The following is a 15,168-nucleotide window of genomic DNA, read 5'->3' as shown; positions in this document are numbered from 1 at the left end:
CACTTTATAGTTTAACTGCCAAAAGTTGTGAAAAATATTCAGACACCGAGAGAAGTAAATTTGCATAAACTATTCTTGTCTCTAAGATATTTACGTTCTGTCAGTACAAAATGCTTTAGAAAATGACCTTAACAATTTCTAAAAGGTAACAAAGTATTTGAGAAAGTATTGCTTTATAAATTTATTAAGCAGTTAAGAGAAGAAATCTAAGAGAAGAAATCTAATGTCTGAATTAAAGACAACTTAAAAACTTAGTAACTTTTAATATGTTTAACGTCTTTTGCAATAAGAAATCCTATTCAGTAATGGGATCTGAATAACATCCTGTTCAAAAATGAGACAGACACAAGTATAGACATTTCGGTTCATAAATACCTGATGATTGCAGAAATATGACTCTAAAAGGATCACCTTGATTTACTTTTTCTTCTGAAAAGTAATGATCTATCTTTACATTGAGTGGATATCTCTTCCATTTGAAAATATAAACCACCCACCAAATGTCAATAATAATGTGATTTTAAATATATCGTTAGAGAACTTCTGTCATTTTACTTCTCTTGAAAGAAGTAGCATACAGTTGCATAATCATAACATTGTTCAAATTATTATTATGTCTACTTTGACAATGTAGGATATAGCCACATAGAAAAGTGCTAAATGAGTTATTTTAACACATTTTTTTTTTTTTTTTTTTTTTTTTTTTTTTTTGAGACGGAGTCTCGCTCTGTCGCCCAGGTCGGACTGCGGACTGCAGTGGCGCAATCTCGGCTCACTGCAAGCTCCGCTTCCCGGGTTCACGCCATTCTCCTGCCTCAGCCTCCCGAGTAGCTGGGACTACAGGCGCCCGCCACCGCGCCCGGCTAATTTTTTGTATTTTTAGTAGAGACGGGGTTTCACCTTGTTAGCCAGGATGGTCTCGATCTCCTGACCTCATGATCCACCCGCCTCGGCCTCCCAAAGTGCTGGGATTACAGGCGTGAGCCACCGCGCCCGGCCCTAACACATTTTTAAAAGTTCAATGAAGTATTAAATATTGGAACTTTTAAAACATTGTAAAATAGTGCCTGAATACAAGATAATATTTTCTAAGAGACTCTAAGAAAGAACATAAAATATTATTGTCACGGGATCCTTAGGGTATTCCTTCTCCAGCCAGAATCCCCTGTGTCCAGTGGCACCTTTGCCTGAGTTTTGCTTGGGCTGCTGGGCTCATTCTGCCCACTCAGCCCATCAGGCTGTGCTTGGCTCATGCTACTGGCCTGGATCCCACGTCTGTGAAGGATAAGCGAGGCGTGGAGTGGCAAGGGGTGTCTGAGTGAGCACAGGGTCTGGCCACTGTGCATAGCCAGGTGTACTGGCTGTGGCAGCACCAGCATAGGCGCTGACTGCCTGTGAGGCTGTGGCTGGACCAGGCATACTGTGAGCACTGTGTTTCCACTGTGAGCACTGGGAACCTGGTGGTGTCCAGAAGCCTGGCAATGCCAGGAACTGCAGAGCCCCAAAGAGGGTGTCATAGGCCTGCCTTGGGGAGCTCCTGGGTTTGGGCTCTCTGAAGGGCCACAGTTCTTCGCTCCTTCTCTCTTCTCTCTTTCGCATTGCTGGCAATGAGGCAAGCATGGTCATGTTTCAGACCTGTTTGTGTTACAGCTGTTTTAGTTCTGCCATTTGGTGGCTCCCAAGTTCTCGTCCCACATCTAGGAAGAATCAGGTATGCAGATTACTGGCGGGAGAACAAGGTGGAGAGGAGCTTCATTAAGCAACAGAACAGCCCTGAGGAGACCCGTAGTGGATAGCTCCTTTCTGCAGGTGGGTTGTCCCAATGAGTTGAGGACACCTGAAGTGGGTAGCTCCTTCCTTCCTGGCAGCTGGTAGTCCTGACATCTGTGTAAGTCTGGCTGAGTCTGGGTTTTTTATGGGCTCAGAAGGGAGGAAGTGCATGCTGATTGGTCCATGGGTGGCCGTGGGCAGACCTGGAAAAAGCACTATAAGTTCTCATTCTGGGCAGTGGACTCCACCTGGAACTGGCAGCCTGGCCCCCAGGCTTCCTAACTTGAAGGTGGGGTTTTACCAGGGACCCGCCCCTTTCTGCCCAGGCACCTATCTGACCCCAACCATCAACATGCTGTCCACGGAGCCCAGGCTGTTGGTGCCGAGAGGCGCCTGCAGTCCTGCGCCAAGCCACCCTCAGCCACCCCTGGCCTCCCTCCCACACTTGTCAGCACCTGAAGTCCAGAGGGAGTGCCCCTGGGAGTCAGGGGGCTGGAGTGTCAGTGCCACCTCAAGCATGCATACACCCAGCCGAGTCACAACAGTGCCCAGGCTCAGCCATAACTTTGCTCTGCACTGGAGCGGGTACCGGGAGTCGGGAGAGGCGAGACTGCAGGAGCAGGCACTTTGGATACTGCAAGGGCATGAGCTTCCCGTGCCCCTGAGAGTGCAGGGATGCCTGGGTCTGGAGCCATGGCTGGGTGGCTGTAGCTGCTCCCAGAAAGGGGCAGAGCTCCTGCCTGCTCCTGGCTCCCATGGGCCCCATGGAGTGTGTAACCCTCGCTGCACCTCTCCTTCTGCAGCGAGTGTCTTCGCAGTGGCCACTCCAGAGGGGCCACTGCTGCCATCATTATCTTTGAGAAATAATACAGGAAAAGGAGATTAAAGCAAACTCAGTCATTTTTATGAAGGAAGGACTATTAACTGATGCATTAATTAGGATTCTATTTTTGTGATAGTAATTTGTGGGCTTGTTATTAGAAATTTATGGATAGAATCTGGACCCCAACTGCAAAATGTGAGATGGGCAAAATTTAAACATACAGTTTTGGTTTGTGTAAAATATTGTAATTTATTCTAACATGTATGAAGAGAATAAGTGCTTGAGGTGATGGATACCCCATTTATGCTAATGTGATTATTGTACATTGCATGCCCGTATCAAAGTCTCTCACGTAACACATAATATATACACCTTCTATGTACCCACAAAAATTAAAAATTAAAAAAAGAGATTAATATGTTTGCCCACAGTGAAGAAGAAAAATAAAAAGAGGGAAATAGAGTTTGTAATACAAATAATTCCGTTTAAGTGTATTAATTTTCCCCTACTCAAAACATCAGTCCCTTTTTGATTTTTACCAATAGTACATAATGTCTGGATTAAGCCAAAGGCTTAACATAAAACCTAGATAATTGCTTCTGGCTTTCATGTCTTTTGGAATATAAAAAAATATAGTGTCTTATTTAGCAATGGGACATATGTAAGTAAACACATTCAGGTTACAAATGTTTGATGGTTGCAGACATTTGACTATAAGGATTATATTGACTCAAAATGTATATTTAATTTTATTATGGAATAAAAGGAGAGGTTATATAGATGCAGAATTGACATTTGGCATTTCCTGACAAAATATTATATACGACAAAGTAATAGTAAATAGCATTTTGTAGTTAAGAAAGGAAAATTCCTGTGTTAATGGACTATATTACTCAATTATGATTTTATTTTTCATGGATAGTGATTAGCTTGGAAATGATTCTTTAATGTCTTTCATGGGAAGTAATTTGGTTTAAACTTAGCTGCAAAGGGTCTGAACTTCTTGAAAAATTTAACATTATTCATAATTGCTTTATTAATTATTTTAGAAGTTTGTAAAGGAGAAGCTTATTAAGAAATGTAATTTGATTTACTTAAAAAATTTTGCCTTTTCTTTTTCAAATCATATTTAGATTTACATTAGGAGCAAAAATGACATTCTATCTACAGACTTTTCTGTGTATCTGGGTTCCAATAAAATTAATATCCACATAAATTATTCAATACATATTTATTATGTATTTACTACAAGCAAGGTACTGTACTAGGTACAAGTATGCAAAAATAAAGGTTTATACTTGATAAAGACTTTTAAAATGCTACTGGTGATAACCAAATGAAAAGCTGTTAATTTTTTAAAATTTTCATTTATTTTCTAATATGGCACAAATATGTATTGTGCTTAGTAGAATTCAAAATAAAAAACTTCGCTTATGCTATAATTCAATCTTTGGAATTCTTCAGTGAAGGTCACTAAATTAGGAAGTTATATGGAAATCAGAAAGAGCTGGAACATTTTATAATGGCTAGGAATTAGCTGAACAAACTCAAGCTAATTCTGCAAACTAACACAGTGACAAAAGGGTTACCAAAAGTCATTCTACAAGGATTAAATTTGCAATGTTATAAAGCAAATCTTTCTCTTTCCCTACTAGATTGAAGAAAACCCCAAATGTATTTTGATTGGCTTTTAGAATATTTAAAAATCTTTTTCAGATACTTAGAGATAACAAATATTCCTAGTAAAAATGCTGAACTGGGACAATTATTTATTGTAATTTAAAAAATGATCAGTTACAAAAATGTATTTAATTACAATTATTATATACAACATTGAATTACGACATGTATATGTATCACATGTAAATTAAAAAACAAAGCAACTCACAATTAAACAAAATATGTAATATGTTTTATAGTATATGCATTTATCATATTTAAAATATATTCTATAAATCTAACTATATAGTGATAATATATTTATACAAAGGATTGTGTGCTTGTACTCTATATAAATAATACGTATTATGTAGGATTAAATACTGTGTGTATGTGTGTGTTGTGTCTGTGTGTGTGTATGAAAGCAGCCACACATTTTCCAGAAATATAACTTAAATGCTGTCACAGATTGCTTCACACTGGTGTGTAAGTTGCATAACTAATTTACCCTAGTTCTCCAGAAGCATGAATGTATTTTATAAGAATCTTCCACTGTGCTTTCTGAATATTCTTCAATATTCTTAAATGTAACACAAAATGTGTTCGATATAGGGATACTAATGTGTTAAATTTTAATATTTTTTAGCTACATAGAGCATAGTATCTTGTACCACAACTCATGTGTGACTGTTTCACCTCTAAGTTTCTATTTTCAACTTTGTATTGTACAGTGTGGTCTCAATTAAATCTATAAATATATATAAATCTGAGGTTGGGTGACAAAAAAATGAATGCCACGCATTACGGGGAAACCCTTCAATTTACTTCATAATTTTAATAGTTTTGTTTATTATTATTTCTGATTTTTAAATTATTTAAGCAGAAAACAAAGAACACTGATAGGAAATGCAATTGTTATTGGTTTAAATCACAAAGAATTACATTCCACAGAGGAAGGCAATGTCAAGTCATGTGGCCTCGTATAAGGCTTGTATCTCTGACAATTACTAGTTTTGTTATCTTGGCTGGATGGCTTCTTTCTGCCTGTCTTCTCAGTTGTAAAATGGGAGGGTAAACAGAAGAGAAATGAAATAATCCACAGCAAATTCTGGAAAGTCAGAAGCAATTGTTATTAAAATTAATAATTATTACTAACAAACACTAGTATTATTAGTGGGTGTTACTCTTTACCAGTGTACTTAACATGTTTTAAATCAGCACTCTTTCCCTCCACTCTGCTAATATTATTGACAAAGACAAGGAGAAAAAGTAGATGTTCTTTAACCCAAAATTTCTCTGAAGATGATTACCTTACTTTTTGGTATAGGTTGCCAAGTTTGACTGGTATTAAAGATTTTTAAAAAATGATAAAATACAATGAACATGCAGATTATCCTAGAGAGAACAAAGAATATCAGAAGAACAATGCATGATTTGCTTTTCTCTTTTAGTTGTGCCCTATGAAGTAAAAGGTGTAACAAAGTAACATTTTATCTCTAAAAAGAATGATTTATCTTTAGAGACTTTTTATCTCTAAAAAGAATTACTTTATTCAATTTTATATCATTAACGGATGACACAAACTACTTAATTCACATTAAATTAAATAACCAAGCATTTTATTTACATTTGGGAAATAGAAGCAGAAAATGCCATTATAATTAAAAAACATATGTTAGGCAACTCTGTATTCTTGATATATTAGTAGGGGTTTTTCATTGCAAAATTAAACTATTGGTCCTTATGCTTTAAAAGCATAGAAGCCCAAAGTAATATTGTTGATAACAAATATTCTAACAACTTAGAAACAACTGAAAAAATAAGGAACTAATACCAATGAAATAAAATTCTTACTTGAAGTGCACACCAATGGGATTAAACATTTACACTGCAAACTGTGATTGTATTACCTGCAGAATTGGGTGGGTGGGTAATATTGTACGCTCTGTATGCCAGTAGGGTTCAAAAGTTCACCACCTTCTTTTTACCTGGGGTTATGTCTGCCTGTTTGGATCTTCCTCCAACCTCCCTCTCCTGCAACCCTGCATGTTTGTGCGTGCACACACACACACACACACACACACACACATTTTGTAACTTGTTCTTTACTTATCTCCTTAGATCTGCACTTGAATCTTACCCATGGCACATGTATTAGCTGTGATTGTCAGTATAGTTATTTATGCTTCATAAGCCTCTGTTACCTGGAATTCATTATTCATTATAATTGTAATTAACTCACACAATTTTTTGTCAATGATTTGATCAATAAGTAGGTAAAATATTTGTTAATTTATGAGGGTTACAACTTTGCTTTAAAATACTTTTATTAATCCAATAAACCTATATCCTCCTATAGAAAATGCTCAGTTAGAAAGGATCTTTATGAAATTCCCCAAATGTGAGACTTCCAAAATAAGTATTTTACAAACATGTAGTATAAAATGCCTCTACCAATGCAAAATGTTACTTCGAAAGACATTTTTGAATGCAGTGAAGATTTGATTAGAAGCAACTTCTTTGGGAAACTACTTGGTTTGTAGAGGTGACATCAATTTTCTTTCTACACTCAGAAATTTGACAATACTACTTAGGTATCCTATTTTTTTTTCCTATTTCTCAGAACTTTTGTGGCTCATCTGTGTTTTCTTTGTTCTGTTATCTCACTAGACAACAAAGCCCCTCATGCCTGAGAATTTTTTCCCTTTCGATCTGCTAAATCAAGGCCTTCTGCTAGTTTGCTCTTTGGGCCTGTTTCTCTGAAGTTTGCAATATGCACTAGACAGAATATCAGTGCAGCAACAATAGGCACCCTGAATATAGACTGATAAATAATAGATGGACAGATAGAGAGATGGTAAAAGCCATCGACTAGTTCCTTCCAAAGTTAAAAGGGACTAGAAAATTAGCAGGAAAGATGAATGGGGAATGGAACAAAAACTAGTCAAACATTTAACTCTTGAGCCTTTTCTTATATTCATTAATACTTATATAATAAATAATCATCAACAAATTTTTTTTATATGTAGAATTAATACATTTAATAAGGCAAACATAAATTAATGGGTCATGTTTCAACTAAGAAGCAGAAATAATAGGACTTTACAAAAACAAACTGAATTTAGATGTAGTATTTCCCATTTATAAAACCAATACCTCCAGATAAAAGAGTTAATACTGGGTATATACCCATAGGATTATAAATCATGCTGCTATAAAGACACATGCACACGTATGTTTATTGCGGCACTACGCACAATAGCAAAGACTTGGAACCAACCCAAATGTCCATCAATACTAGACTGGATTAAGAAAATGTGGCACATATACACCATGGAATACTCTGCAGCCATAAAAAAAGGATGAGTTCATGTCCTTTGTAGGGACATGAATAAAGCTCGAAACCATCATTCTGAGCAAACTATCACACACTGGGGCCTGTCATGGGGTGGGGGAAGGGGGGAGGGATAGCATTAGGAGATATACCTCATATAAATGACGAGTTAATGGGTGCAGCACACCAACATGGCACATGTATACATATGTAACAAACCCATACATTGTACGCATGTACCCTGGAACTTAAAGTATAATATAAAAAAAAGAGTTAATATTTATATAGCGTTTACTATGTCCTCGGCAAACTAATAACTGAACTTGTTAGTTTGAGTCTGAGTTTCCTCAGTTTAGACGCAGGAGATTCCAGGCATAGACATTGACCATTTGATGCCTCCAAAGACAATGCTCTATGCCTTTATGGCAGAAAACTTGACCAACAAACAAAACTGGCTGGAAAAGCAAAATATATTTTACAAAATTACAAAATAAATTCTGATGTGAATGGCATTGTTTTATGTTAGAACATGATTAGCCAAATGTAATTTTCTGTTAAGTTATTTCTGAATCAAATTTCTTCCTATCCAAAAGAAGTTTTAAGACAAGATCTTTCTTTGCTGGCATGCAGACAATTTAAGTAATCTGTTAATAGATATTTCAGTACAACATTTTATTTCATGTATGTCTTGTAACATTTATTTCACCTCTGGAAAAGAAGAAAAAGTTTAAAAAAGATTTGGATAAAAAATATATTTTAAATTATCCTTGATACAATTGCATTTGCCTATTCACAAGAGAAGTGATCTTTTTCTTTACATAAATCTAATTGGGGCAAAATTAAGTAATGTTTTTATTTTAGCTATAAAACTTGTTTAGGAAGTCATCTTTTGATCGAGCACAGTCTCATTTTTTATCACCACAATATCAAATTTTTCAAAGTTTTCCAAACTTTGAAAAAATATATTATTTTCCTTTCCTATACACATAGGAAAAGACATTCTTCACAAATTAAGATTGGCATTGCATATATACATACTTATATATATTACATGTAAAATGTTAATAATGTTATTTCTAGATTAAGACAAATGTTAATAGTTTCTATTAAAATTGAGCAGCTCTGGGTTCAAATTTATAAATTATCCAGTCAGAAGCAAATTAGGAAACTCAAAATAGTATATATCAAAAAATTTTTTTTGGAAATTTATCCTGAGGAGAAAGAAACTCTCATTTATGTGACATATACTCAGAATTTATTGGTAACAGTAAGAGGATTTAGAATATTTCAACTAACTTTAAAAATCTGCTTTGGGAAAAAAAGAGAAAGGTCTTACTGCTTTCTATTTTCTAAGCGTTCAATTTCTAAGTCAACCTCCCTCTCTCCAACACACACACACACACACACACACACACACGTACGTATACTTTAAAATATGTATTAACTTAAAATTTAAAAACAATTATGTATTTCAAATAACTTATAATTTAGCAAAAACCACAAGCAACTAAGATTCTCTGATGAATGCTACCTAGGATGCTTGCTATGTAAGAAATGCCACGCTTGTCAAATTCCATTGCAAAAACATGTAGGTTCCCAATCTCTAAAAGTCTCTTTTGGAGACCTTAACCAAAACTGCATTTCAGATATGAAGAATATTAGTCTCCAAAGGATATGCCCTGCTGACTTCTTTCCCTGTTAACAGTATTAAATCATCTTTGAACAGAAACCCTTTATAGTTTATCACAGCCTGTCAGCCCAAAAATACAGGTAACTTTTGTTTCTGGTCATTCAGGTAGGGCACTCCAAGTCATTGATATATATATATCTATTTCTCTATTGTAGTTTAGAAAGGAAAGATTATCTGTCTTCATTTTTGTTCTTAATGTAAATATATACCCTCCCTTGCTTTCCCCAACCACTCTCTCCCCATCTCCAGGGGAAATTCTTAGACCCTGCAGAAAAACAAAAACAACAGGAAGCAGCCAAAAAGGAAATGCAAACTAAGGAGAGCTTTCGAACGTTTTAATTTACTTCCCACATTGCACAACCTCTATCACCAATTTGGATTGTGACGTAAGGATCGACTAGTGTTAGGCGGATGGTTAATGTAAAGTGCTGTTGCCTCAGTGACTTCTTACATGAACACATGAACACGTCTGGGTTTTTCTATGTCATAGTCCATCAAGGCAAACTTTACGTGGTGTTCATTAAATATCTCCACTGTATACATGATTAGGCCAGTTGTTTATTTCCAAGTTAGGTCAAGCTTCAAACTAAAGTAAACCAGTTGCATTTGTTTGTTTAAAAAAGGAAAAAAAACTGACTTTTTTTTTCAGAAAATTGCCAGAGAAAATGACAATTTTCCAATTTGGTGATTAATCAATTATCAAATTGATACAAAACATTTGGAAATAATAGAAAAATATAAACATTATATTTTTATTGAGAAAATGCTTTAAATTAACTTAAATGTAGCTACAATTAGACAAAAATAATTTATAAAGTGTGGAAGAATTGTTCAATAAATTTAAAGAGTTTTACTGGCAAAGTGGTGCTTTATTCCCTTTGTTAAACAGCAAATTCGTTTTTTTTTTCTTTTATCCATCAAGTGCAGATAAACTAGGCAGCCAAAAAGTTTATTTTGGGTACAAAAAAAAGGATGCAGAAAAGAAGAAATATTTTTTCCAATGTCATGAAAAAAGAATATATCTGATATAAATTTAATCAAATTAACAAATTCTGAATAAAAATGTAGATTGCTTTGCTCATTATTTTCCTAATTTTATTTACATTTCAAAATCAACAACAATGAAATAATTCTAGAGTATCCTTCTTGAAAAGAATAGAAAGAATGGTTTTAGTGGGACCAGAATTTCCATATTTGAAGTGAGTATAGCTAAAATAAAATTGTTCATTTTAGTTGAAATCATTACAAAAGAAATTCATTGCCCCTATTAAACTTATGCAATCATTTGTACTGTAACCTGAAAAAAAGACTAGAGTTTCAGATGAAGATTTTTGCTGCTGTGCATATTACTTCCTCATATATATGTTTTTAAAATTTTTACTTTAACCCTGAGAACAATAAGAGAAATTTTTAAGGAAAAATAGAAATTATCTTAAGATTTTAAAAGTCCTATATAAACAAAGAGACTGGAGATTAAATTATCTGAACCTCTTCTAGTTTTGTGTGAATTCTGGCAAATTAGTTAAGCTCTGTGAATCTCAACTTCTTCATCTTTAAAATGGAGAAAGTGTCCATCTCACATGGCACCTGTAATGATTACATGAGATTCTCTTTGTGAAAAAGGCCTAAATTGGCAAAGACATCTATAAATAGCAGCAGTAGTAGTATATAAAAAGTAAAGAACACTCAAAATTGCACATGTCATTCAGATATGTAACTTACAGCTGCAAGGGGAAAGAAAAGCAGCAATATGTGATACAGTACAGTTTAGGGTTGGTCTGGGTGGTCTGGGCCTGTGTCTTCATCTTTGTCTCCTTCACAGTCTCTGACTCTGTCTCTGTCTTCACCTCCATCTGCTCTTCCTTTGCCTCCTGTTCCTCCTTTCAGATGCTTAATCCCATCAATCTCAGTGCTAGTGCATTCATTTTATCTCACTTGAACCTCATGGCAACTCTATGGTATTGGCTATCATTGTATCACTGGTTGTGCTATAAAAAGCACACTAAAAAAGGAATATGCATGCTCAAACCCTCATTTTTAGTCGATTTGCACTTTTTTCTTTCAAAGTTTCTCAATCCACATAAATTAACCTAATTCTAGGCGAAAACAAATGTAGTTTCTCTGGATTGTTCCTCTTTAAATAGTTTTAACAATTATTTGAACCACATTTATTGCTTTTTCTGATGATGAGGAAATACATAATTATTGCAAAAAATCAGAAAATATAGGAAAGCAAAATGGAATAAAATTATGACAACACCCAAATATATCTAATATACATTAGTTTTCTTTGTTGGTATAGATGAGGAATAACAAGGAAATTAGCAGTTTATCTTTAAACAAAAAAGAAGCAACACTGTCTACTTACTATGAATGTGGTTAGTCCCTGTGGTAGGATGGGCTACTACCATGTTCCCCTAGAGGCTAAAAATTTTTTTGAAAAAGGAAACACCAGAAAGAGATCATAACTTATCACAAGTAATAATCAAACATGAAAGATCAAAATAAGTGACCAATAACTCCATATTTGCAAGCCTGTGCCAAGACAGTCATTATTTCTGAGAATTTTTAATTTAAATTTCTATTTGATCTTTTATTATACATGTATTTGTGCTTGTGGGCAATTGGAGTGATCTGACTGTGTTCCCCAAAATTCATATGCTGCAACTTAATTGCCCATGTGATAGTATTTAGAGGCGGGAGGCTTTAGCCCATTTATGCCTGAGGTTGCAATTTTTTGAATTTTTGTAATCAGACCTCAGTGATGACCTTGAGCAGTAGGATATAAATAACTCCCACATGCTTAGAGTTTCAATAATGGAACACTAGGCATAAATAGGTTTTAAGAATTGATTAATGAGAGAAGAACCCTCATGGATGGGATTAGGGCTCTTATAAAAGGTCTTAAGGAAGTGAGTCTGTTCTTTTCTGCTCTTCTGCCATGTCATGACACCTAGACTGTGCCATTTTTGAGGAACAGGTCTTTGCCAGACACTAAACCTGCTGGTGCCTTGATCTTGGACTTCCCAGTCTCTAAAACAGAAATAAATTTCCATTATTTATAAATTACCTAGTCTGTGGTGTTTTGTCATAGCAGCACAAGCAAACAAACTAAACAGGAATGAATCTCAAATTCTTTTAAATTTTTTTTTGGTGTAGGCAGGGTAGAAACGACGTATGTTTAAAAGGACACAAGGTCATTGGATTAATTTTTTCCATGTATCACACTGACGTCTTTGATGTATTACTGGTATAAACGGAGCACTCTATAATTCTCTTCCTTATATTAATGTATTTGGTGTCTTGACATTTGACTAAAAATTAATAAATAAACCTTATTAATATGATAATTTTTACATAGATCGAGTCTGTAAAACAATTTTAAAGTAGTATGAGTTTTAATTTGGGTTAGTGTGAAGTCTCTCACTTATGGACTCCATCCGCAAAACCTTAAAAGAGGGAATACACTTCACATATATATAGCTTATAAATAATCACTAAAGCACATATTATGGTTCTGAATTATATATTTGTTTGTTCTTATAGAATAAAAATTTCTGCCAACTCTTGCCTTCATTTTCTGTTTTACAGTCACAAAGACATATCTTTCCTCTGAGGGCCTCAAGCTCCAGTAGTTAGTAACAAAATTGCAATCGTAAGTAAAAAAAAAAAAAAAGCACAGAATTATGTTTCCTTTTCTACCTTGTGCCTGGTAACATCAGAAGTTAAATAATTTGAGGCTTTTATCATGTGTGCAATGGTGTACCCAAAGAGCATGTTACAGTCCACTTTCTCCATTTCTAACCTTACCATTGTTAATGCTAACAAGACATACAGGGTCTTTGAACATTCTGAACAATACACCTCGATGCCTCAGTAAGTCAGCAAGGTCTCAAAGGTTGTACCATGTAAAAGTCAAGTAATTAAACACTGATTACTTACTGCTTAAAAAAAAAAAGGTGGCTGGGAAAAGTTGGATTCAGAAGGTCTAATTTCACACAGAACATTTCAGTGAAAATTAAGCCTTTAACTATATTCTGCTTGACTTGATTTGAAAGAAAAGGATAAGAAAAAAGGATTATAAAAGCTATTCAGTAATGTCTTTCTGCAACAGAGCTTTGGGAGGTGACAAACAGCCACTGGTAATTCATTTAGTCATCTTTTCCCCAAACAGCATTTGGATTCCCCTTCAAAATTTGGCTGCAACTCTTTAGTTTCATTATTCTTTCAAAATACAAAGGCTCCTTCCTTCTCTCTTGGCACCGGTTGAAATGTTTTAGCTCCCTAGAAACAGCTAATTTCTAATAAAGTTTGCAAACATAGTAAACCCCATTTTACCTGATGCTGTTTCATTTCCCATACATGAAAAAAAAAAAGGGAACTCTTCCCCAGAGTTTTAATTTTGACCTATTTCAACTTTGTAATCTTTTAAATCAGAATAATTAAAATTTAGAAATATTTAAGTTGTTCTTCCTTCTATCACACCCTACTCTCCAATTTATCTCAGTGGCTAGTATGTAGAAAAAATGCCAGAGATGACACAGGTGCTAAAATTATTCTGCTGAAAGACATCACAATTTTTTTTTTGGTAGCAGTAGAATTTATTCAAATGTGCCTTAATATAGGTGCTGAGGCTTGCCCATGGTGCTCTTGATATATAAGGCCAGGACATTCTGCCAGTTTTTCTTGAGCAATGACAGCAAGAATTTGACAGCCAGGTGAATGTTCTACACAAGCTCATCTTCTGTCATCTTCACGTGGCCAACAGCCACAGCCAGACATAACACCTTCTTCATTTGGAACTTGAAGGTGGACTTCACCTCATCCGCTTTGGCCGCCATGTTTTCATTGTGTGTGAGCAGGGAAGGGAACTTTCCTGCCTTATTTAGGCCTGGGCCCAGGATTTGTGGGATCCACTTGATCAGAGGCTCTGAGGCCAAAAATGCATCATACTTCTTGGCTAGCTTCTTGACCAGTTTCTTATTTTTGTTGAGTTTTTTCAGCGCCTCGATGTCCATGTGGGGGATATCCATGACCTTGGCCTCGTCACAGTGTTGCTGGTACCCCGGGACACACACGGAGAACTTGGGGTGGGGAGTGGACTTAAGCCTGACGGTGTCCGAGAGGTGCTTGTCCTTCTGGGAGTCACAGTTCCTCAAACTAATCTGCAACTCCACTGTCTCCAGACTTGGGGCCCTTGTGCTGGTTCCCTTGCAGGACTTCCTGCATCACCTCGTACACGGTGTCGCAAGAGACTTTGCTGCTCATGGCTTCTCACACTGAGCTAACCGGAAAAGTGACACATCTCAATCTTTTATACCTCTTACTCTCTCACTCTTCCTGTTACAGGAAGGCATTTATTTCCTTTCCGTTTCGTAGATGAGATTAAGGATTATCTAACAGAAATAATTATACTGCTTGTTAAAATTTACTTAATTCATTTCTTGGAACTATCACTATCTGTTCACAAGAACATATAAGATTATTTATTTTCTTATTTGTCTGGAATTACCTGTGCCAAATTGATCAAATATTTCCTTACTCAATTGTTTCTAAGAAAGAATTTCTACCTTACAGAGAGAATGAATCAGTTTAGTTTATTAATCCCTACTGAAACACAAACATACATATGTGAGCTTATTTATCCCTACTAAGGCATAACTATTTCACTTGATTAGATTGTATTGGGGAAATTTTCTGTAGCAAGGACTAAGAAGAAAACGACAGTTTCAAATAATATATGAGCTACTTAACAAACATCTTTGAAGATGCTGCTGGTGAAATTTATTGCAGTTGTAAGGAAAATTTTGATTCCTAAATAGGTAATATTAAAATATGAGGCCTTTTCTGCTCACTTTCCTTAATGTTGCTGCTTTAAAAAAATTGACAAAT

The 15,168-nt window shown here is 35.3% G+C and overlaps 1 pseudogene, besides 1 other annotated feature; it reads right to left on the bottom strand.

Moving 5' to 3' along the window:
• Window positions 9,335–9,903: an enhancer, noted in NCBI's record as "OCT4-NANOG hESC enhancer chr1:81678894-81679462 (GRCh37/hg19 assembly coordinates)". NCBI's record gives its function as "activates a minimal SCP1, AML or CMV promoter by ChIP-STARR-seq in primed H9 embryonic stem cells {active_cell/tissue: H9 hESC(primed)}" and the evidence as "EXISTENCE:reporter gene assay evidence [ECO:0000049][PMID:30033119]".
• Window positions 13,863–14,577, bottom strand: RPL10AP4 (ribosomal protein L10a pseudogene 4; annotated as a pseudogene).

This window comes from Homo sapiens, chromosome 1 (assembly GCF_000001405.40).
Source record: "Homo sapiens chromosome 1, GRCh38.p14 Primary Assembly".
Classification (NCBI taxonomy): domain Eukaryota; kingdom Metazoa; phylum Chordata; class Mammalia; order Primates; family Hominidae; genus Homo; species Homo sapiens.
The sequence above is the reverse complement of the archived record's forward strand: the minus strand, read 5'-3'. Positions and strand labels throughout refer to the sequence as shown.